Below are 24,486 nucleotides of genomic sequence, written 5' to 3'. Positions count from 1 at the left end.
AAGAAACACGCATCCAAGTACTGTTTAAATCCTTTTAAAATGGTCAGTAGTTAACAACCAGAAATAGACACAAATCACATTTTAAAAAATCAAAGAAAATACAGCCAAGTAGTAAAAGATGGAAAAATAACAAGGAGACACTAAAACAAAACATTAAATGATGTGACATCACCATAGCAAGATGGTATAGGAAATTCACCTAACATAATTAGGAAATTCACCTAAAAAATTAAGATTGCTGGTTAATATTTAAAATAAGCTCATTCTAATCATTAAAGAAATGCAAATTAAGATTAAAAGAATACTTTTTTCTTAACAGATATATATGTTTTTCTTAACAAACTGACAATTGAGTTAAAAATGAAAATACCTATTGTCAAGGATGCAGGGAAATGACTACTTTCATACACAGTAGGATTACAACTTTTTGTATTTGGGAAGAACGATTTTGCTCTACAATGTGTGAATAGGTGTGCTCCTGTGTTTTACAGACAGAGAAACTGAGGCCTAAAAAGGGCCTAAGCAGGTATTGTTTGAGATTCTGGTGGTACCTCAGTGATCAAGACAGATCACATCTCCGACCTCATGGAGCTTAATTCTAGGTGGGTGGGAAGGGAGGAGTGAAACCACAGACCATAAGCAAGTAAACACATAAGGAGGAAAATTGCAGGGAGTGACAAGTGCAATAAAGAAGATAAAAACCCCTGGCCTCAGGCTGGGGGCTTTTACAACGGGTGGGTCAAGGAAGCCATCCCTGAGAAGTGACAGGTGCTGACATTTGAATGCTGAGAATTATCATGCCAAGAGCTGGGCAAGGAGCTTTCTGGCAGAGAAACAGCTTGTGCAAAGCCCTGAGGTGCAAGCCAACTTGATGTGATCAAGGGACCCAAAAGGTTTAAAGAGACAGAGCTTCATAGTGGACTGTTTCCTCCTTCTCTAGGAGGAGTGAAAGTGGCGGGGATGACTATGAGCTTCAAGAGCCAGCGGGCATGGAGTGTGGGCGGGTGGAGGAATGTGAGTAACAGGACGAACTCAGGGAGCTGAGCTGGACTAGAAATGCTGGTCTCTTTGAGGAACCTGGGATTTGGGGGGAGTTTCTGCCCACTGTGTATCTTGAGTGATGAGCAGAGTGGTGGTAGCTAGAGAGGATGCATTTCCAAGGAAAGCTGCAAACAGATCAAACCTGAGCCTTCCAGGAGGACCCTGAAACAGGAGGAGGCAGACTCCCGGCCAGGATTCATTCACATTTGGTCATGCAGAATTCATTGCCTGCAAGGTTCACAGCCGGGGGCACTTGGCACTCATCCCCAGGCATCTGTGTGGGTGACCCCACAAGAGACTTGGCTTCTTGGCCCCGGTGGGCTCCACCCACGGAAGACACAGTCTTTGATGGCCCAGCTCCACCACCTTCCTTAAAAACACTAGACATGGCCCAAACAACTTGTGGTGGTTTTCAAAAAGCAATTATGACTTTAGAAATCAAAGAGGAAAGAAGTAGCCAAGATGAAATGGGAAGGTAGTCTGGTGCCGCGCCCCCCCTCCCTCCACCACACACACACAGGCTGTGTAACCTTGGACATGTCTCTGCACCTCTCTGTGCCTCAGGCTATAGACTGACTGCATGCCCGTGACTGTCCCTAAGGGGCCCTTCTCAGTATAAACTGACAAAGAGTCAATTGTCCTGTGTGTGATTTTTCCCCAAGGAGGGTTTTTCCAAAGACCAAGCCGTGGGCCCTGATGACATTTCTGGCAGAGGAGTTCAGAAGTGATTTGAAAAAAGACCCATGAAGGAGCTGAGGGTAATGGGTCCCCCAGGGTGGCATTCATCTGGAAGTGCAAGTTCCAAGGTCTGGAGTAAAAAGGCAGTTTCGTTACTTTGTGGCCACAATCAAAATGTTAATATCACCAATGAAATTCCTTTATGAAATTCAGCTCAATGGGAGAAAAAAAAATCTTTTTTTCAATGCTGGCCTATTCGGACTGTTATATTATGGAAGGTAGATGGAATAGCAGGAGGGATGGATGCTGCCTGACACCTGAGCAACTGGGCCTTGCCCTGGGTCACATGCTCTAAGAGGTCCTCATTCAGGCCCCTCGGGGCCCAGAATCTGCAAGCCACGGACACAGCCCACTCAGACCTGCACCCCTTCCAGCTTCCAGACTGTGCCCTGAATTCTCAACCCATAAGCTGGAGCCACTTCCAGGGTCTAGGGAGCCTCTTGCCCCAGTTCTTGAGGGTAGACTGTGCCTTTGAGGGTACAGGGAGCTACTGATGCTAGAAGGGGAAGGAGGTATGGACTGAGCCTGGCTGGGCTGCAGGATGGAGAGGGGTGGGAAGGGAAGGGGAGGGGTGGGCTGAGCAGCACACTGTCAGCTCCCTCTGTGCTGCTGAAACTCAGAGAAGTCCCAGAATTCTGAATTCCAGCTTGGCCTTCCAGATCCCTAGGAAGGTGTATTTATTACGATGAGGAGATAGAGAATATTTTTGAACAGTTTGTTCATATGCTATAACTTTAACATTTAGACATACGGGATATGGGCCTCTACCTCACCCCAGGCCCTGCAAGTTTAGAGGCAAAGGCCTGGTTAGGGTGTATTATCCCCTCTCTCTAGTCTTGCCAAAAGACAGTTTAAATCTCAGTCTTGTCACTCACTAGCTTTGTGGAACTAAGCAAGTTGACCCCCCTGAAAATGGGGGGTCTGTAAAATGGGGACAATAACAGTACCCACCTTATGAGGTTGTTGTGAGGGTTAAATGAGATAATGCACGTAGAATCTAGCACTGTACCTGGCACCCTGTGGGCATTGAAGAATAGCAGCTCTTCTCGGCATCAGGCACCTGATGTCCCTGCCGAGTATAACTTGGGATTCCCCCAATCCCCTGTTTTTCCAGACTCCACAGCAGTATGAGAGAGAGTACAACAACAAGCGGTCAGGCGTGGGGCCCAGCAAGTTCCACGGGTACGCCTACGATGGCATCTGGGTCATCGCCAAGACACTGCAGAGGGCCATGGAGACACTGCATGCCAGCAGCCGGCACCAGCGGATCCAGGACTTCAACTACACGGACCACACGCTGGGCAGGATCATCCTCAATGCCATGAACGAGACCAACTTCTTCGGGGTCACGGTCAGTCCCATGCCTCTGGGCTGTTTTCCTTAGTGTTCCTTGTAAACATGCAAAGCAAAAGAGGGGCTGTTACAGGCTTTCTGTTATGTGATCTGTTATCTCTGATCATTGAAATAACTAATTGCAGGCCCTAGGATTGCAGGGCTGTTCAGACAAGGGGCAGGGGCAGTGTGTGCTCTCAGACACATTGGGAAAATGCTTCTCTGTGACTCATGGATAAGAAAGGGCATAGAGCCAGGTACTTGCTGAAGGTAGGCTTTCACTCTGCTACAAAAATGGTTGAAAAGCGTTCTATCCTTTTGGCTATTTACATTTTAGAGCAGTGGCTCTGTGCTCCCTGGCACAGTACCTGGCTTCAAGCTGCTAAACTACCTCCTGTTATGAAGATGTGAAAAGTTTTTTTGTCATTGAATATAAACAATTAGCACACACAGATAGCCTCTTCAATCTCCATGTGAATTTAGGATGAACTATGTATGACATGGTGCTGTAAATTCTTCCTCTTATGGACTAATTTTGGTGACCATCTTTCTGTCTCTGCAGTCTCTTAAGCAGATTGACTATGATGCATGCCACATTCAAGTTTAATTGTGTAATAAAACAGTTTTCTTTCTGTTCTGAAAAAAAGAAAAGAAAAAGAAAGAAAGGGCATAGAGGCCGGGCATGGTGGCTCACGCCTGTAATCCCAACACTTTGGGAGGCTGAGGCGGGTGGATCACCTGAGGTTAGGAGTTCGAGAGCAGCCTGACCAACATGGTGAAACCCTGTCTCTACTAAAAATACAAAATTAGCTGGGCGTGGTGGCACATGCCCGTAATCCCAGCTACTCGGGAGGCTGAGGCAGGAGAATCGCTTGAACCCGGGAAGCAGAGGTTGCAGTGAGCTGAGATCGCGTCATTGCACTCCAGCCTGGGCCACAAGAGCAAAACTCCATCTCAAAAGAAAAAAAAAGGGCATAGAAAGTTGACTGCGCACACAGTGCAGGCACAGTTTACCAGATGGTGGGCTGGGGTGGGCCAGGAGAAGCTCTGGACCCAAAATCAGGTTCAAATCCTGGGCCTTCATTTACAAGTTACCTTCTTTGAACTACAGTTTTCATTCACACAATGGAAATCATACTTACCTTGTAAGCTAGTTTTAAAGATTACACATTACATAATACAACCTTTTAATATTTATTAAGCAAGCTACTTGCTCTGAGCCTCAAGTTTCTCATCCGGGAAATGGGGATAATAATATAAATCTTGCATGGAAGTTGGGAAAATAAGCAATGATAATATGGCTAATACTTCTTGATTGCGTATTATGTGCTAGACATTGTGCTAAATACATAATGTAGTTAGACTCAATAATGTATGCCTAGTGCTAGGCACATAGCAGGCACTCAATAAATTCTATTGTTACTGTTAATAATGATTACACCATATCCTTATGCCATCCATAGGAAGTAGGTGCTCTTATTATTCCCATGAACAGTGAGGAACCTGGAACTCAGAGCATTTAAGTACTATAGCTAATCAGGGTCAAGTGGGATTTGAACTTTGGTCTAGCTCTTAATTGCTGCAGAAGGTAGTGACCTTCTGGTAATGGACCAAAGTGGTAGTTATTTGTCACTGTCTCTGCTCCAGAAAATATGGAAAATTCATCTGAAGAATACGTTGAGTGGGCTAAAGTGCTGTCCTGTGTTCTAATTTACAGATTCAGAATAGAGTCAGTCTGTCTTGAGGAATAAAGGGTAGATAAGCTGAGCTGGCTGGGGCATTTCTTGAATATGCATATTCATGCATGCCTGTGCTGAGGCTTATATTGTTGGTCTGGTGGGCTGGAACCTGTGCAGGTGCCGAAGGTGTGGATAATGGTGTGGATGCCAAGGTAAGATGGGCTCCCTGTCCTAGAGCCTGTGGCTCACATGCACGGGCAAGACCTAGACAAAAACAATGAGAGGTTAAAAGTGCTTGGCACTGTGGGAGAAACTATTTGAGCCCAAGCCCGAGCCCAGAGGGATTTCTGTGACCTTTAGTGAAAAAGTCAGGGTAGGTTTTTTGGAAGGGGTGGCATTTGACCCATGCCTTGAACTGTGGGCAGGAGTTAGACATGAAGACAGGGGCTGGCCAGAGGGAGCATGGTGAGCAAGGAAGAAATGCAAGAGGGAGGGAAGGACAGTTAGTTGGGCTGGAACACTGGCAAGCTGGATAAGGAGGCTGGGAAGGGAAGTTGGGGTCCATTTCTGGAGGGACATGCTAAGGAGACTGGCCTTTATCTTCCAGACCAACCATTCCCAAAGTGTGGTCTGCATCATCTGGGAGCTTGTTAGAGATGCACATTCCCAGGCCCCACATGGGCCCATTAAATCAGAACCTCTCGGGGTGGGGCCCAGCCATCTGTGTTTTAACAAACCCTGCAGGTGGTTCTAATGCACACCAGGGTTTGAGACCACTGCTGGGGGGCAGTGGGGAGGCACTTGGGTGGCACTGAGGTTTGCTCAAATGAAGTCGATTTCCAAAATCCCCAAGCAGAGCCATTCTGGACTAAAGGCTCTGAAAAATTCACTCCCACAATGTATTGGCGAAGTCCATTTCTGTAGCACAGCCTAGATTCAGGCTGGAAACTTTAACAGCTTTCCTCAGACCAGTAGCTTAAAGAATTATTTTTATTCTCAGAACTCCTTGTTATAAAATCTCACATGGAGCCTGGTATATAAAACAGATTAAAGAAGAGCTTCTCAGTTGAACAGAGAAGGAGCCCTGAACTCTGCCTGTTCAGCCCCCTCTTCCTGCAGCCCTCTCCCCACCCCTGCAGCCCCTGAGATCCCTCCCTCAGAAATGCTGGACAGAACACCCATTAGAATACCTCCAAAGTCCTTTCTCCTCATCCTACAAGTTCATGGACTGAGACTCAGAAAGGGGTGGGATTCACCCAGGGTCCCACGGGTAGCATTTTGGCAGGGCTGTTTCAAAATGAATTCAAAGTATCCAAAGTTGAAATGGATGAATAGAGAGCTACAGAATCTAGAAAGCATTTTGCCACCCTTCACAATCCTAGAACTCTGCATTTTGCCTAGGTGCCTGATAGATCTTAGTTGGAGATCATTTATAACCACTTCTAAATGCTCCCTTTCATCTAAGCCAAATAATACATAATCCTTACTTGATGAGCAATTAGATAGACTGCCTGAAATGTTCTCCACGGCTTGAGGATGAGTTTCTTTTTAATGGGAAATTCCTTGGCACCTATTTTTGTCTGCTCCAGCTTGTGACTCAGAACTCAGTGAACATCAGAACTGAAAGTTGTCTTAAATATCCTCAAATTCAATGCTTTTGTGGTGTAGATGAGTGTCTGAGGTCCAGAAAAGGAAAATGACTCCTTCAGAGCCACGCAGCAAGATGGTTTGGCAGAGCTGGAATGGTAGCTGGACAGGCCCTGCCTCCACCCACTCAACACCATCTCCCTTTTCTTTGCATAAGTGCCCCTTTAGTGGAGACAGACCGCAACAGTGAAACAGTCCTGCACTCCATGTTACCTTCCTCCTATCTCCTTTGTCACATATTAATAGGTGCTTGTCACTGGGTTGTAGACAGGTTTCGTTAAAATTGTCTTCTGGTCACAGCAAAAAGGACATCTTCTGACAAAATAAAAAGTGTCTCTGTGGTCCAAGGAGACTACAGAAGGCCAAGTTCAGCTATAAATAAAGAGTTAGAAAGGAAAACAACATGGGAGGTGGAAATAAATGGAAGCATTTTCCATTTGCTGAAGGATTTTCATTATACAGCACACACAGTATCCATTTTTCCACTCTCAGGCAGACATCTTAGTCTGGGTGCCCCCTCATTTAGCATGTTTACTATATGGGAAATCGTTTAAACACATTAAATTAATTATATCCATGACTCAATTTCAATTGATTCAATATGCACACTCTCTGCCGGGAGCTGGGCCAGTGGTCCCGGCTTGGCATATGGATGAAGAAATGTCTTCCATGCATCCTAGGTTGGGAATCCACCTTAACTCAAGGCAAGTTCTGTTTTATCTTCTTAGAAGCTCTGCTCCCAGTGACTCTCCTCAGGGAACACTCTGAAGTGGGATTCCATGTCCCTGTGGCCCTCTGATGACTTGGGGGTGCCGTACATCTCTCTGATGTTCAGCCCTGGGATTGGCCCTCCATGGTTTAGAAGTCTCAGGATGCTTCCCCTCCTCCATCCCCCTCTTCTGTCAATTATGCAACCAGGAAACTCAGGCTAGAATTGGCTATTTAAATCTCAAAAGCCCAGAGCATTCTGAGAATCCCCTTTTCTGAAAATGACAGGGCTTGGAACCCAGCTCAGCAGAGCTCATCATTAGAGCAATGATTCTTAACCTTCTAAAGGCATGAGAATCTTCCAGGGCGCTTCATTTAAAATGCAGGTTCCCTGGCCCCACCCCATAACTTCTGATTCTGTGGTCTTACAGTAAAGCTCAGGAATTCACATATTAAACAGCAGTCTGAGAGATTCTTAAATAGCAACCTGAGAATTGCTTGGGGCCACACACACACGTTTGTGGTTTAAACCTGTCAGCAATGGATTTGCTCCTACATTCATTCACTCCTCTAGCAAGCCCCGCACTGGGTGTATGGAGTATAGAGAGGAATAACATACGGTCCCTGGCCCCAAGAGCCCCTCATTCAATAGCAGTGGGAATGGACAAGTAGAGGAACAATTGCTAGGCAGTATCCAAGGTCTGCCCAAGGCCTCTGGAGGAAAGACGGTTTCGCTTAGGGGAGTAAAGACCAAGGAGCCATCCTAACTTGCTGGATCAATAATTGCAAGGTAGCCACCCTGTGGGGAACCCTCCTGTGCATGTGGTGGGAGCAAGGATGCAATACCAGGCCCCTCTTCCCAACGCTCAACACGTCAGTGTGCTGTGGCTGAACAGACTCCTTTCATTTGGCTTTCCTAATCAAGATGCACTAAATTCATCGTCAGGAGACCATAACCTTTCAGCACATGCTTGGAAACACTGGCTAAGTCTTCAGGTGAAAATCAAAGCCTTAAAGTTCTTCAGGTGATCTTTTTTTTTTTTTTTAAACTCTTTCCAGTTTCCAGTCTCTTAAAACAAGGGTGACCTCCCAGATCTCAAGGTCGACAAATCCTTTGGGTATGTCAGGCTAAGATGATGGCTGTTACCAGCAGTATACCCTGTTTGGTAAATGTATCTTCTGATTTGTCTTTTAAAAGGACAGCACATTGAGATTGTGGTGCCTATGACAGGCTAAATTTACAGAATCAGCTGGGTGCAGTGGCTTCTGCCTGTAATCCTAGTACTTTGGGAGGCTGAGGTGGGTGGATCGCTTGAGCCTAGGAGTTTGTGACCAGCCTGGGCAACATGATGAGACCTTGTCTCTACAAAAAAATACAAAATTTAGCCGGGCATGGTGGCAGGTGCCTGTAGTCTCAGCTACTTGGAAGGCTGAGGTGGGAGGATCACCTGAGCCCAGGAGGTTGCGGCTGATTACGCCTCTGTACTTCAGCCTGAGCAATAGAGTGAGACTCCGTCTCAAAAAAGAAATAAAATAAATTAATAGACTCTCATTTTACCTTATGAGAATTGAACCCATGCTTTTCCAGGAGTTCCTTAGGGCATGTACACTGGGTTTGGATGGGGGCTTTTAGGTGTCAAGAGCATTTGACCATAGGGAAATTGAAAGAGGCTCCTGGGGAATGTCTCGGATTATGAGAAGAGGGCTCCATTCTTGCTAAAGTTTGCTGTGACTGTCCCTCATTCTCGGTGGGTGTACTCTATGTGGGAACGATCACAGTTGGAAAGAGAGTGACCCATTAAGTTCCTCCAAATAATAGAGCCATCCTTCATCCTCTGCCCAGTGTCTCTCAACCAGCAGCGGGTCTGGACATCCTAGTGTAACCTCTGTCAGGACAGGCTGGCACCCTTAGGTTCAGGCATTTCACCTCCGATGGCTGTTATCTTCTAATTGGTCTCACCAAGGTGATGAAGAACAGCAGATGGCGATTTGCAGAGTGTATTGATCCATTTGCTTTTGTTGCTGGTGAAGAGGGATCCAGCCTTAGCCAGTATACCCCTTAAAGTTTCTGCAAGATTTTTAAAAAATTATTTCTACTAAGACTCAAAAAATGCTCCCCCCACCCCCTAGACAAGTCACCACCCCACCACCCACCCTACCAACTTTTTACCTAAAAGGAGGACATCATAGAGTTAAACTCAGTTTGGCTGGAATTCCAAGTACTCTAAGTAAGGTCAAACTAGGTAGCCAGAGAAAACCAACAGGTTCCTCGTTCCAGGGGAATTTGCAATGTTGGCTCAAACCCACCTTTATTTCATCCCCACTGTTGCCTCGCCCTACTGTGATCCTGGAGTTTGTGCACTTGGTTTTTTTAAGTCAAAATATAATTTTACACACACACACACACACACACACACACACACACACATACATACTAGTTACATATCATCTTGTTAGAGTTGTCCCATCTCTCCTGCCTGTTTGATCTTTTGGGGTCCTGGTTTTACTTTCCAATGTAGAGACTAAACTTCAGGCCTCCCACCAGCCAGACATTGGTGTCTTATATTTGATATCATCATTTACTCATAGAAGTCTTTTTTAGGGGCCGGGCGCGGTGGCTCACGCCTGTAATCCCAGCACTTTGGGAGGCCGAGGCGGGTGGATCACGAGGTCAGGAGATCGAGACCATCCCGGCTAAAAAACGGTGAAACCCCATCTCTACTAAAAATACAAAAAATTAGCCGGGCGTAGTGGCGGGCGCCTGTAGTCCCAGCTACTTGGGAGGCTGAGGCAGGAGAATGGCGTGAACCCGGGAGGCGGAGCTTGCAGTGAGCCGAGATTGCGCCACTGCACTCCAGCCTGGGCGACAGAGCGAGACTCCGTCTCAAAAAAAAAAAAAAAAGAAGTCTTTTTTAGGTTGAATCTGGGAAAGAAAAAGACAAGAAACAGGGCACCGGGAACTCCATCCAGAAATAAGGAAAACTCTACCCAGTCAAGATTTGACACCACTTGGGGCTGGTCATTCTTCCAGTTGTGACTCTATCCCCCAGATTATCCTGATTGTGCCTGTTTCTTGACTTTGTGCTCAAGGCTGTCACTGGAGAACTTGTTAGAAGCTCTGAAATAGTCCAAATGTGGTATAACAACTGGGAGCCCTAGAACATGGGGCTTGTTCCAGTGACCCCATGCTAGCGTCCAATGCCACCCCACGGTTTCCTATTCTGAGGTCCCTTTTTCATGTTCCTTTCTTGTCTGCTGCCCGGGAGCAACAGAAAACCCATCCAGAACTTTCTCTGTACCTCATGTGTCCCCAGCACATCCCAGACCCAGGTAGTTCCAGTGAAATTGCATCACACATAAACTTAACATAGGAGCTGATTTGAGACTCTAATCTCTCTCCCTCCATTCTCTGGCTAACCAGCCCACCCTCAAACTCAGATGAAATGTACCATTGCCCAGGACATGGCAGTGATCAACTATAACAAGAATTACAAATTTGAAAGGTCAAGTAAAAACAGGTCACAGTGTATGTATCTCTTAGAGCTGTGTGACCTTGGAGAAGTTACTTACATCTCTGTGCCTCAGTTTCCTCATTTGTAGAGTGGCGGTAAATATTTCTTCTTTCAAAGTGTGGCTGTGGGAAATAATAATGTTTAGTACCTAAGAACTACATCATCATTATTGCTATTATTATTACTACTGCTATTAAAATGGCTACTTTACAAAGAGCAGAGTTTGTGTGGGTCTAATCAAGACCCAGCAAACAATCATTGCATACCTATGAGATACCATTCTGTTTCATATATATAATCTCATTTCACCCTCTCAACAATAAACAAATCTATTAACTTGTAAGAAGGCTGGAGTGGTTTACTATCCACACAGAACCAAGTAAACTCTGCCTCTAAGCAAGAACACTTGAGTTCTCTCCTGTGGCCATTCACTCTAGGGATTTGAAAGTTACCTTAATGTGGAAGGCATCTGCTCTCAGCTCTCCCTCCTCTTCCTCCCTTTTGACTAGCTCAGTGCTCCAGCAGCCCTAAGCATTACCACTCAGCATTACACACAAAAGCTAATTGCAGCAGATGCTGATGGTGTCCCACCCAGATCTCCTGAGCTCAGTTTCAGAGGGCTGCTTAGGTTTGCTTATCCCCCAGCTGCTGCAGGTGCCCCTGCTAATGGCTCACACCTGCTGCCTTCCCTACAGTCCCTACAGGATTGGGCAATTGGTGCCTCCTGCCTGGAGGTGCCTGGGAATTACACCCACACCATCAGCCTGCAGCAATGACCGATGCATTGGTACAACACCCAGTGCAATTTACCCTCCAGGGCTTCCAACCAGAACAGGCTGAGGCTCACCTTCATCTTAAACCACATCTGAGCATGGCCTCTTCCTTTTTCTTCTCTCCCTTACAGGTTTCTTCCGAGAACACGTCGTTAACAAATTACTGACATGTGATTCCCTGTCCTAGGCTTTGTTTCTGGAGGACCCCATCTAAGACACCCATGTGTATTTATGGGAAATTTAAGCATTTTCAAGAGAAAATTTTTACTATAACCTTATAGTTACCATATGTGTAACTTTAGAACCAATGGTCCTCCTTACCTACCCCCACACCCGATTGGAGGGTTCTGGACTCTTCTCCCTCGTCCCTGGTGCATTTTGCATGCACCCCTGCCAGTTGCAGTAGCCTGTAGGAGAGCCATATTCGTCTCCTCCAGCGAATTACTATCTCCCAGATTTGCAGGGACCACAGCCCTTCCTTTCTCTGATCCCCTCGTACTTCACCTGGCCCTTTATGCCTGGTAGAAGCTCAATAATTCCTGATAACCTCTAGTGAATGTTGTTGGATTAAATTCACAAATGATTGAGAAATTCAATCACACTTTTCTACTCTGTTGCCTTCCAGGCATCTATAAACTAAAAAGACTTTTTCAACCCGATAAATAATCAGAACTGACAACAGAAGTATTAACAGGACTTAGATTTCTTGAATCTGCTAATAGTGATTACCAAATTCTTGCTGTGATACCTGGTAGCGGTAATTCACACAAGGTCACGTGCGTGTGTGTGTGTGTGTGTGTGCGCGCGCGCGCATGTGCATATGCATGTGCACGTGCACGCATGCGTTGGAGGAATCCCTTCCTGAGGCAGCATAAAAACTCATCCCTTACTCCCCTCTCAATCTCTCGTTTCTCCCATAAGCAACTCTCTGGGGCTCAAATCCCAGGGCTTGAGCAGCAGAAGCAATTGCTGATGGGCCCTCTGTGACTTCAGATTGTCAGAAACATTTTCGAGAGGTAATTGCTAGTAATAAACAACAACTATAATAATAATAATCCTTGCTGTGTGACTGCCCTGTTTACAGAGTGCATTTATAGTCTCTCCCATCTTCCTTCCTTAATGCAATTACATTTATTCACTCATGCTAATAATAGTTATCAATTAACGAGCTCCTACTGTATCCCAGGAAGCATTCTAAGCACTTTTCCCTTATTATTGAATATGGTGGGGACGTACAATTCCCAGTTCCTGGTACACTCCTCCAGTGAGCTGCATCTGGCTTGCTCACCTATGTCAGGTCTCTCCCCTCCTCTCTCCTTCCCAGTGAGACCTAACCTGACACCCTACTTTAAATTGCAACTCCCTCCCCATCCACCCAGCCCCCCTCTACTCATCCTTCTCCACAACATCTAGCCCCATCTGACATACTACATATTTTACTTATTTATTGTCTGTTTTATTTTCTGCTTTATCTCTAAGGCTTAGAACTGGGTGCCTGGGACATAGTAGGTGCCTGATAAATATTTGTTTAATGAACAGATGATTTAAATAATTAATGACATGTCATAGATTAAAGAAACAGGCTCAGCAAAGTTCAATGATTTACTCAGGATCCTTCAGGTAGTAAGTGAGAGTTTATGCAAGGCTACCAAGTCTGACTGACTCAAAGTCCATATTCTTAAGCATTTAGGTATCCAATTAATTCAACCAGCATTCATTGCACCTCCAGTAAGCCAGACCAGGGCCAGGTAGGAGTAGTAAGATGTAAGGTTTTGCCCCCAAGGGGCTCACAATGGGAACAACCAGGTGAGATGCATCAGAGAGAGAGCAGGTACTACCATCCCCATATTAATAGTGAAGGATGTAACGGTTCCCCTCTACACTGGATTATTTGTGTGTCTATCTGCCTCCTCCTGCTGGACTCTGAGCCCCTTGACAGTGGGGCCTGTAATTCTCTCTGTACCCCTGGTGTCTACAAGACCCAGCACTTAGTCCATGAAATATATTTGCTGATTGAATGAATTACAAAATTATAGCTCAGAAAGGCAAAGTGGCTATGTTGGGGTCCCACAGTGCATAACTGGTGAACCTGGTTCAGAATTACATTCTAGGTCTTCTGATCTAAATGCAAGTGTCTCCAAATCTTGTGCTGTTAGGCGTTGCTTGGCTGCCCTTCCCCCTTTAATTTAAATACAATTACAAATGACTGCAGACAATGTACAGCACAGGAAAGAAACCTACTCCTTCTGCTGTCAGATAAATTTGAAAGATCAAAATAATGTGGTTTAGCAATTTGTTTGAATTGATGCCTAACCTTCCAAAGCTTGCAAGTTTGACTTCATCAAGTCAGGGAAAAAATAGCTATTTCCTTAAGAAAAGCAGTGTGGGGGAGTGTATCAGCTTATGAGAGCTTCAACAGAAGGTGCAGGCTCTGTCTTTATCCCTGGGAGAAACAAAGAGGAGGCTCCTTGGAAGGAGCCAGGGACATGGTGGTCACAGCAAATTACCATAATGACAGATGTCATGATAATAGGAATGATGAACAGTTTTGAATGCCTACTATATGCTGAGCACTATGCCAAGCTCCTAGATGTATTATTTCACTTAATCCTCACATTCACCTGTTATGGATTGAATTGTGCCCCCCTAAAAAATCCATCTGCTGAACTGCAACCCACAGTAGCTCAGAATGTGACCTTATTTGGAAATAGGGTTGTTACAGATGTGATTAGTTAAGATGAGGTCGTACTGAAGTAAGGTAATCCAATATAACCAGTGTTTCTATAAAAAGGGGAGATTTGAAGACAGCCAGGCACACAGGGAGAATGCCATGTGATGATGAAGCAGAGATACGGATGAGGTTTCTATATCATCAGCAGTGTCAGTGATTGCCAGCCAACCACCAGAAGGTGACTGATCCTCCTTCACAGCCCTCAGAAGGAAGTGGCCTTGCCAACAACTTGATCTCAGACTTCTAGCCTCCACAACTGAGATAACAAATTCCCATTGTTTAAGCCACCCAGTGTGTGGTACTTTGTGATGATGGCCCAAGCAAACTGACACATCCCCAAAAAGTGGAGACTGCTATTTATTGTCACTGTTTTGCAGCTAAGAGGTTAAGGAGGTAGAGGATTAAGTAATTTAACCCTCTCATTCAACCTAAGAGGTTAAAAAATTTACCCAAGGTGACAGAGCTAGTGAGTAGAGAAGCTGGGATTTGAACATAAGCCATCTAACTTTCGACCCTCACTTTTAACCATTATCCTACACCTATAAAAGCTCTCCTCCATTAGGGGGCAAAAGAATCTAGCCCGAGAAGGACAATGTGGAAATAAACCAATGAGATCAGCACTTCCCACCACCCCAGTTTCCAGGGGGAGCTCTGTGGCTCTCCCTAACCTGCTGAGTAAGAGGCAAGGCTGAAGCCAGGCCCCAGCCCCTTGGTTCTGGGCCAGCCTCACTGAAAGCTCTGGCCACAGCACTGGAAGAGACTCTTTATATTGTACCCACCTTTCCCCTGATCGGGAGGAGGGAGGGCATTTTATAACCTCACCTGCCCTGTTCTAACTTATTCATGTGTTTCAAAATAACATATATTAATACATATTTATTTTGGATTATAAAAATTATCCATGTCCCTTGTAGAAAATGTGAAAAGTACAGGCACGCACCAAAGAGAAATCAGTCTCCTGAAACCTCATCATTCAGACAGACTCATGGGACACTTCACATTCAGATGTGATCCTTTTTATTTTAATTTCTTTATCATTTATTTTGGTCCCTCACATTATAAAACTTTTTCCATGGCAGTGGTTCTCAATCTTCTTAACCCTATCGTTTTTTAAATTGTGATAAAATATGTATAAAATAATGTTTACTGTTTTAGTCATTTTTAAGTGTACAAATTCAATGGCATTAAGCACATTGACCATGTTATACAAGCATCACCACTATTTATCTCCAGAACTTTCTCATCATCCTAAACTGAAACTGCATACCCATTAAATAACTCCCAGCTGGGCGCAGTGGCTCATGCCTGTAATCCCAGCACTTTGGGAGGCCAAGGCAGGTGGATAACCTGAGGTTGGGAGTTCTAGACCAGCCTAGCCAACAGGTGAAACCCTGTCTCTACTAAAAATACAAAAATTAGCTGGTTGTGATGGCACACACCTGTAATCCCAGCTACTTGAGAGGCTGAGGTGGAAGAATTGCTTGAACCCAGGAGGTGGAGGTTGCAGTGAGCTGAGATCATGCCACTGCACTCCAGCCTGGGCAACAGAGTGAGACTCTGTCTCAAAAAATAATAAATAATAATAATAATAATAACTTCCTTCAGAGGAGTTTTTATTAAATGGGTTATTTATTATGGGAGAGCTTATTTTATTTAGCTATTATTTATTATGATAGAGCAATTTTATTTAGCTGTACATTTATTTTTTAAGTATTTTTAAAGATATCATAGGTAGTTTGCTAATTTTAGAGGGAAATAATGGTATTTGCAAGCTACCGCTAACCAAATAGTTATTAGCCCAGCAAAAGTCTGGTTGCTTTTACATACAGAAACCTAAGAATGTGCATTTTTACATGTTGAAAATATAAATAGCAAATATTTTAAAGTAAATAGTACAATTAAACATTAGTGGTAGCCCCACTATTGAGGAAAATACTCAGAGATATATCCAGATCCTATATGAAAAACGAATCTGAAGATTACGTGCATTTCTCTTGGTGTGAGACCAGAATCTCCCTCTCTGTGTGTGTGTCAAGGTATGTTAGCCCAGGAGCTTGCTAAGCAGGAAGGAAGTTTTCTAAAATCAGGAGAAGACAGCTGACATAAATTTTAGCCGACAGGATGGCATGGCTGTGGGCCCTGATGGACACTGGCTCCGCCTGTGTGTGCTCATGCAGAGGTTACTCACACACACTCGATGTGACACTCTGTGCTCACGTGGATGAGAACCAGACCTGCGTGATGGAGAGAAGGACACTTGGAAGTGTCCACTTTCTCATGAAATTTCATGCCACTTTCTCATGAAATTCTAACCACCACTGCCACCTCCTTCTTCTTTCTCAATGGGATTCAGGCTTCCTAGAATTACTGCCTAAACCAGTAATTTTAAAGTAAAGACCTGGAGTCTGGTTGGGGCATTGTAAATTGTAGAAGGGGGGAAGTGGGGGACTATAAGGGACTGGAAGGGGGTGTCCACCTTTGTCTTCCTAAGAGGTATGAAATGGTTAAGAGTGTGGAACCTGGAGACAGAATTCCTAGGTTCTCATCTTGGCTCCACTTGCTAGCCAGGTAAACTTGAGCAAGGAATCAATCTCTCTTCATCTCAGTTTCTTATCTGTAAAACATAGATAGTGCCTTAGATCAAGCTCCTTGTAAATAGAGATGGGACATCTTTGCAGAAGGTTTGTCAGAGAGCATGCTCTGGATACACCTGTAGGGAAGTGAAGGGGACAGAACAAGAGCAAGAAGCTGATGGCAGTGTGGCTGCAACTGAGGCTCCAGCTGATTCTGGTAGCTCTGGAGCTGTGATGGAGCAGAGGCTGGGCCCAGGTGTCCTCTTATCAGCTAGTCACTGGCCCTAGGAGCAGGTGTATCCTTAGCCAAGGCAGTTCCTCATGGTGGAGGGTAATTCGCAGTAAGGAAGTAGGCTGGGACCTTCAGTAGCCAATATTCTCAGGAGCTGGGGAATGATGGTGCTTTGGCCCTAAAGAGGCCAAAATACTGGGCAAGCCCCCCAGTTACCCCTATAGATAACAACGGGGCCTACCTTAAAGGGCTGTGAGGATTAAAGAGGTTTATACATGTTGAGTGCCTGGGACACAGTATGTGCTGAATTAGTGCAAGGATGACAAGGAAGAATGTATTTGGATACCAACTTCACAGTCTTCTAGACCCTCAAACACCTATAATTAATTTTCCATGGGATTCTGTGGTTGGTGGGTCCCCAACCAGCTGCTTCAGTTGGATTCTTGCAGCTCTTGCCATCTTTGGTAATTCACATTCTGACATTCATATGCACGCAAACACACTCACATGCATGCATGCACACACACATCCCTAAATATGTGGTCTATGGGTATTCATATTCATCATGTATACAGCTATGTATCAACGTATTCCAGGAGTTTTCAAACTTGTTTTTCAAAGGAGATTTTACCTAGAAGCCCGATATTAGTGTCCTTCATTTAACATTTATGTTAGTATTAACATTGCCTTTAATATTACATTTTCTTTTTCCAATTTGCTCTTTGGAAGACTTTGCTGACTGTCCCTTTGGATTTAAAAATTAGTAAGCAAATTTCTGCAGTAACAAAGAAGAAGCAAAGCCTTCATGGGGAACCTGGGTCTGAGCTGTCAGGTCATCTCACAGGAGGCAGGCCCTGGAGGACAGCCTGGCAGCAATGGCAGCTTTTCCAATAGAGCAACAGGTGCCCAAGAAGGAACCACGGTAGCTGGTATCCAGACCCACACTCTTTATTTTAATGTTGCATGTTTATTTGAATGTGCACTGTAAAAATATAACCAGCATTTAAGGTAGCGAGATAAGCACTCTTTTTTCAGTTTTTTTTTTAAGGCAGATATTTAGTAAAGGAAAGCACAGATGGCGGGTAGATATTGTGAAAACCATGAGGGTGGCACACGTATGACAAGGTTTGGGAAACAGTGACCTCCTTATTGCTTTATCTTTATGTTAAGTCACTGTGGTCATCCCCTTAAAAGCTTAAGAAATGAATCAGAAGAGAGTGGGAAAGAGAATGAGAAAGAGAGAGAGAGAGAAGGGAGAGGGATCCACCAGCAGCAGCAGCACATTGATTTTCTTGGCCAGCTTGTGTAGTTACCAAAGCAGCAAACAGTACTGTGCTTTTTACGCATGAGGTTTTTGTGGTAGGGTTAATAGCCTTTTTGTTTAATGCCCTTTCACCTCATTCCCATGTTTTCAGTAATAAAAAATGGTGGCAGGCCAGGGAGTGGGTGTCCACTGAACAGAGCAGAGTCAAACTACTCTTAGAAACATGGCCCTCAGACCCCAGCAGCACAATGTAGAAATCCTTGAATTCACCCTCTTTTGCAATAATTTTGATTCCAGTTAATTCATTCGCTTGCATGAATTAACTTCTACTACCAACTCCTTGAGGGTAGGGTCTTTCTGAGATTTATCTCTGTTTTCAGTTTCTAGCACATGGCCTGGACTATAATTGAAGTTAGTGAACAGATACATCAGAGAGACTTTTATCATCCCTGTCCCCTACTTCTTGAATGTCTCCTCAGGGTTTTACACATAATAGATACACAGGAAGGCTGGTTGAATGTATGGGCAGATGGGTAGAGTGGTGGAGACATGGGTTGGGGGATGGGTGGAGGGGTGGGAATGTGAGTAGATAGTTGGATGGCTGAGTGGAAGGAGTGAATGGCGAATGAGTGATGAATATGTGGGTAGGTGTATAGATATAGATGGATGGATGGATGGATGGATGGATGGATGGATGGATGGATGGATAGGTAGATGGATATAGATGGAGGGATAACGTGTGGGTAGGTAAATATGGATGGATAAATGGGTGGATGGATGGATGGATGGATGGATAGATGTGTGGACAGGTGGATGGATACAGATGGGTGGATGGATGAATGGATACGTGGGTAGGTGGATAGATGTGGATGGATGGTTGGATAAATGAATGAGTATGTGGGTAGATGGATGCATGGGTGAATGAATGAATGGATGAGCATTTAGGTAGATGGATGGATGGGTATGTGGGTGGTGGGTAGGTGGATGGATGGATAGGTGCATAGATAGATGGACGGATGGATGGATAGATGTGTGGACAGCGGATGGATACAGATGGGTGGATGGATGGACGTGTGGGTAGGTCAATAGCTATAGGTGCATGGATGGATAAATGGATGAGTATGTAGGTGGATGGATGGATGGATGGATATATGGGTGGATGGGTGGGTGGATGGATGGATGGATAGTTATGTGAATAGATATATGCACAGATGGATGTGTGGGTAGATGGATGGATTAACAGGAAGATGGCAGGTGGGCAGATAAGAGGACAGACATAGATGAATGAGTGGATGAGTTTGTGGGTGGATGGATGGATGAAAGGATAGATGTGTAGATAGGTGGATGGATATAGAGGAGTGGATGTGTGTATGGATGTGTGGGTAGGTGGATGGATATAGATGAATGGATGGATAGATGGATGATTATGTGAGTAGATTGATGGACAGGTGGGTGGGTGGATGGATGGAGGGATGGATGGATAGACGGTGGTTGTATTGATAGATGATAGCAGGTGGATAGCTAGGCAGGTTTGTGGACAGGCATAGATGAATGGGTGGATGAGTTTGTGGGTGGAAGGGTGGGTAACTGAGCTAGTGAGTATGTGAACACTAGGCCTAGGAGAGGTAATTTCAGTTCATGTGTCTGCTGCATTTTAATCAAAGCACGTTTCTCTAGAAGGATCTTCAGAGGCAATGGCCCTGATATTTTGACTCCTTTTCTGTACAGGTCCTGACCTCTACAAAGTGTTTGCCACATTTTCTGATGTGAGGTCTCATCTTGTCATCTGACTCACGGAAATACATGTTTTATCTGATGCCTTTATTCCTCACTCACACTTCACCCTTTCAGTGTGAAAGGGCCTCATTAAAATCTGTCCTCTACCCAGTTACTCTTTGAGAAAGTTCCTTCTTAGGGCATTTCTGCTGTGAAATGTATCACACCGACCCATGTGAGTGCCAACCTGAATGCTAAAGACTGTTATTAGCAGATTTAGCCTAGAGATGTTTCAGAGTTGTCAGTTCTGATGTTCATAGGATTATATTTTCAAACATCATCACACATCCTCTGTGACAGACTTGATTACTGTGATGAACTAGTTTTCTTCTTTTGAGAAACGTTCCAGTTGCAAAAATGATTCTGAAAGTATTTAAGCAAAATTCTAGGCAAGAGTGAAGTGATGCTGTTTCTTTTGGGCAGCTCATTTAGCTTGCTGGGGGAGGCAGCTTGGTGTAATAGGAGGAGCACGGGGCATGGAGCCTGCAGATCAAGGTTGCATGCTGTCCCCAGTGTCTTAGCAGCTGGTGACCTCCGCAAGTCTCTAATCTTTGTGTTATCTTCTGCAAAGTGAAAATAATGACCAGGGACCCCTCACTGGGTTGCTCTGAAGATGAAGCAAGGAAGGTGCACAACGAACTGTAAAGTGTTGTGGATGATTGAAGGATCTGTGGTAGTAGAAGAAAGAACGCCATACTATATATATATATATATATATATATATATATATATATATATATATATATATATATATATGGTGTGTGTGTGTGTGTATATATATATATATGGTATATTTATGGGTATATATATATATATATATATATGGTTGTTGTTGTTTAAATAACAGAAGAAATCAGATATTGACAGTGAAGAAATTAACTATATGTCCTAGGGCTAATAAAACACTCTTTCTGGGCCATGGAAGGTTTATCATCAGTGATGGGACCACAGGTAAAAACTTGGTACAACCACAGAGACATGACTGTTTCCCTTTGTTCATTCATTTATTCTACAGACATTTACAACCACCTATAGTATGAGGAGGATAGGGGTGGCGGCTGCTGGGGGTACAACTGTGAGCAGGGCAGATGTGATCCCTGTACCCAGGAGGAAACAGATGAAAACTGATAATCATCCGAATAACCATTTAAATATAAATGGTGAAAAGTGCTTTGAAAGAAAGTTACAGGGGTGCCCATAACGTGGAGACCTGAAGATGAAATAAGGAAGGTGCATAACAAACTCTAAAGTGTTGTGGATGAGTGACAGACTGGGGATCAGTAAAGGCTTCCCTGAGAAGGTGACTTTGAGTTGAGATTGAAGAACAAATAGGAGCTAACTAGGCAAAGTGGGTGGAAGAGCATTTCTGGAAAAGGGAAGAGCAGGTGCAAAGGCCCTGGGGTTAGAGAAAGTGTGGCACCTTTGAGAAAGCCAGTGTGGCTGGAATAAAGTGGGATGAGCCTGGAGTGGTGGGTGGAGGCCATGTTATACTAAGACCAGTGGAAAAGTGTCTAGCAAGGGAGCAACCTGACTGCTGTTTTTAAGAAGCTCCCTCTGGCTGTGGTGGGGAGAGCAGGTCAGAGCAAAGCAACAGCACCTGCAGGGATGCTGGTATCAGCCATCTCAGTGATATTGGGTATAGAGAGGAGTGGATGGATTCAAGGCACACTTCAGGAAGAAAACTGATAGGGCTTGGTGTTTTACCAGTTACGACAGAAGAGAGGGGATGATGGAGGGTGTGCTCCTAATGCAATTACTTTCCATTTTGAACTGAATGGTTCTGAAGTTATATATACTGTGAGCATTACTATAGTAAATTAAAGAAATACATCAATAGATTCTACAGTATTTTGCATACTTTAAGCATCTGGATAATCTGAAAATTTACTTGGCAGCCCAGAGAAAATGGAATGGTGCAGCTCTTTGGCCTGATCCCACAGGAAAACATTCCACTCATGCAGAAGCAAAGATCAGGTCCAGAAGGATGTTTGGCAAATGCGCATTAAAAACTGAGAATATGGAGTGTGCAGAAGAGCTTTGCTCTGAGCCTGGCCCTTTAGGCTTTCATGATCTATGGAGGCAAACATGATACCAATGGGCAGAACCCACTCCAGCCTAGGTCTACACATGAGGTTACACCAACATTAAGAAAACCTCCTTGTGTGCTGCCCCTACCTACAGAACAGTGTGACCTCAAGACCCACTCCCCACAATTCCCCTAGTCTTTCCTGTGTCCCTGGAGGCATCTCAGGGTCCTCACAAACTGTCCTTGTTTGGCCTGGTGGCACAGCCTCCTTGGTGACTCTCCATGCCCGCAGCCACTTGTGGAGGCTGTCACCATCTTATTGCCAGATCTTTGTTCCCCAGTGCCCCAAAATGCATGGGGCTTATACAGGGCTGCGGTGACCTCAGTCTTCAGTAGGGAAGAAGGCTGTTCTGACACTTGCTGTATCACACTTGGTCAACTGGGCCCAGTGGTGTGTTGGAATTGGTGTATATCAGCTGCTGAGAGCCGATTGTGCACATCTCTTCCCAACTTCTTATTCTATGAGGTTACGTTAGTAGCTTGAATAGGCCATGATGGGAGTATTTATGCCATGGTAATGGGTAAACGCTACAAATCAGAGCTTCCTTCTTCTCCCCTTCAGAGACCCTGTTGTTGAACATTTACCAGCACACCACTGACTGGCCCAGAGCTCAGCTGCTTGTGCCCTGAGCCCCACCATGTTCCCTGTTGTATTAGGGTTCACTAGAGAGACAGAACTAATAGGATAGATGTCTATATAAAGGTGAGTTTATTAAGAAGTATTGACTCATATGATCAAAAGGTGAGGTCCCACAATAGGCCATCTGCAAGCTGAGGAGCAAGGAAGCCAGTCCAAGTCCCAAAGCTGAAGAGCTTGGAGTCCAATGTTCAAGGGCAGGAAGTATCCAGCATGGGAGAAAGATGTAGGCTGAGAAGCTAAGCCAGTCTAGGCTTTTCACGTTCTTCTGCCTGCTTTTATTCTGGCTGCATTGGCAGCTGATTAGATTGTGCCCACTCAGATTGAGGGTGGACCCACCTTTCCCAGCCCTCAGTCCCAGACTCAGATGTTAATCTCCTTTGGTAACACCCTCACAGACACACCCAGGAACAATACTTCATTGGATTGAAGGATTGTATCCTTCAATCCAATCAAGTTGACATTCAATATTAACCATCCCACCTGTGAACATTGTCCCTCTGTCTTCCACCTAGCCACTCTCTCCATAAGGTTCAGCCCTGGTCCCTGAGATCAGGACCACATTGTCTTCTGAGCCCCCACCTTCCACAGAAACATGCCCAGGTATCAATACATTAAACATCTCTTTGTCTGGGGGCTGTGGCCCCAGGAATCATCAGACAGAAATGAATCAGGCAGGGAAGGAAAGAAAGGTTGAAGTAGACATCAAAGAGGCCTTGAACATGTCCTGTCCCACATGGACCTCAGTTTTCTGGGCCTAGAGGACATGATGTCCCAGTCTTCTTTCTCCTCAATGCCCCAAGCTTGAGGGAATAGTATGTAACTTAATCTTGAATATGTAGAAAAAAACATATAGGATATTGCCTAACATAAGGTAGAGGCTAGCTTGAAAAAGTCTTGAGGTTCAAGGCCTTAGTGTACAGTTAATTACTTTCATGATTCATCACCTGCAGACTGTGACTCTAGTATATCCTTAGTGTAAATGTATGAAGGCAGTAATTTTGTACATGTGTATGTATGTGTACATGTCTTTACATACATGTATATACTTACAGACCCATGGCATATAATAAAACAGTGACCTAGATTCTCTCTCAAGCATGCAGGATCTTTATAAGCCATACGTAGTGACAGTTTAATCCACATAATCACTGTCAATTCCCCTTCACTAATTTGGCAGAGTCCCTGCGGCATATGCAGCTCTGCAATGCTTTACACAGCGTACACAAAATTCCCTGTTCATCCTCCAATCTAGTAATTCCATCAACTAGCTTATGAAGAGCTGCTTCAGTAATTCATGTTTAATGACCTTAGCTGCTGGACAGATGTCTTGAGAATTAAAGTCTCCTGTGAACAGAGTATCCTGAGCTTCTAAACTCCAGTGTAATGGAAACACGTCCCATTTCTCCCACACACCCCCAAAGTGATGGGATTTGGAGCAGACATCCAGCCTGGGGTCCTCTCCTCGGGCTCACACTGCCCACTCTAGCCTTTATGAGTGGTGGTGACCAGACTGGAGGCCATGGGATTTATCTGACATGTCCTGGGTTGGACAGTCAGTGGGCCTCACGTGGGGCTGAGTTCTGTGCCTCAATTCATCTGTAGGATAGAGGAGATGGTGCCTGGCATGGTCAAAGAGACCCTCAGAGTGCTCAGGACTCGGGACTCCAAAATAATGGAAAAGAAAAGGTTTATGATGAGAACCAACATTTACTAAGCTCCTGAAGTACTAAATTTCCTCGGAACAAGCCCTGTGA

General features: G+C 44.7%; 1 protein-coding gene across 4 annotated transcripts in view; it reads left to right on the top strand.

The window, feature by feature from the left end:
• Positions 1–24,486, top strand: part of GABBR2 (gamma-aminobutyric acid type B receptor subunit 2) — a 420,827-nt gene that overhangs the window by 251,825 nt on the left and 144,516 nt on the right. For all 4 annotated transcript variants that reach the window (NM_005458.8, XM_017015331.3, XM_005252316.6 and 1 more), the window contains one exon: positions 2,894–3,130. In NM_005458.8, coding sequence (NP_005449.5) covers positions 2,894–3,130 — 237 coding nt within the window. The remainder of the gene's footprint in view (positions 1–2,893; positions 3,131–24,486) is intronic.

The sequence above is a fragment of the Homo sapiens genome, chromosome 9 (assembly GCF_000001405.40).
Source record: "Homo sapiens chromosome 9, GRCh38.p14 Primary Assembly".
Classification (NCBI taxonomy): domain Eukaryota; kingdom Metazoa; phylum Chordata; class Mammalia; order Primates; family Hominidae; genus Homo; species Homo sapiens.
The sequence above is the reverse complement of the archived record's forward strand: the minus strand, read 5'-3'. Positions and strand labels throughout refer to the sequence as shown.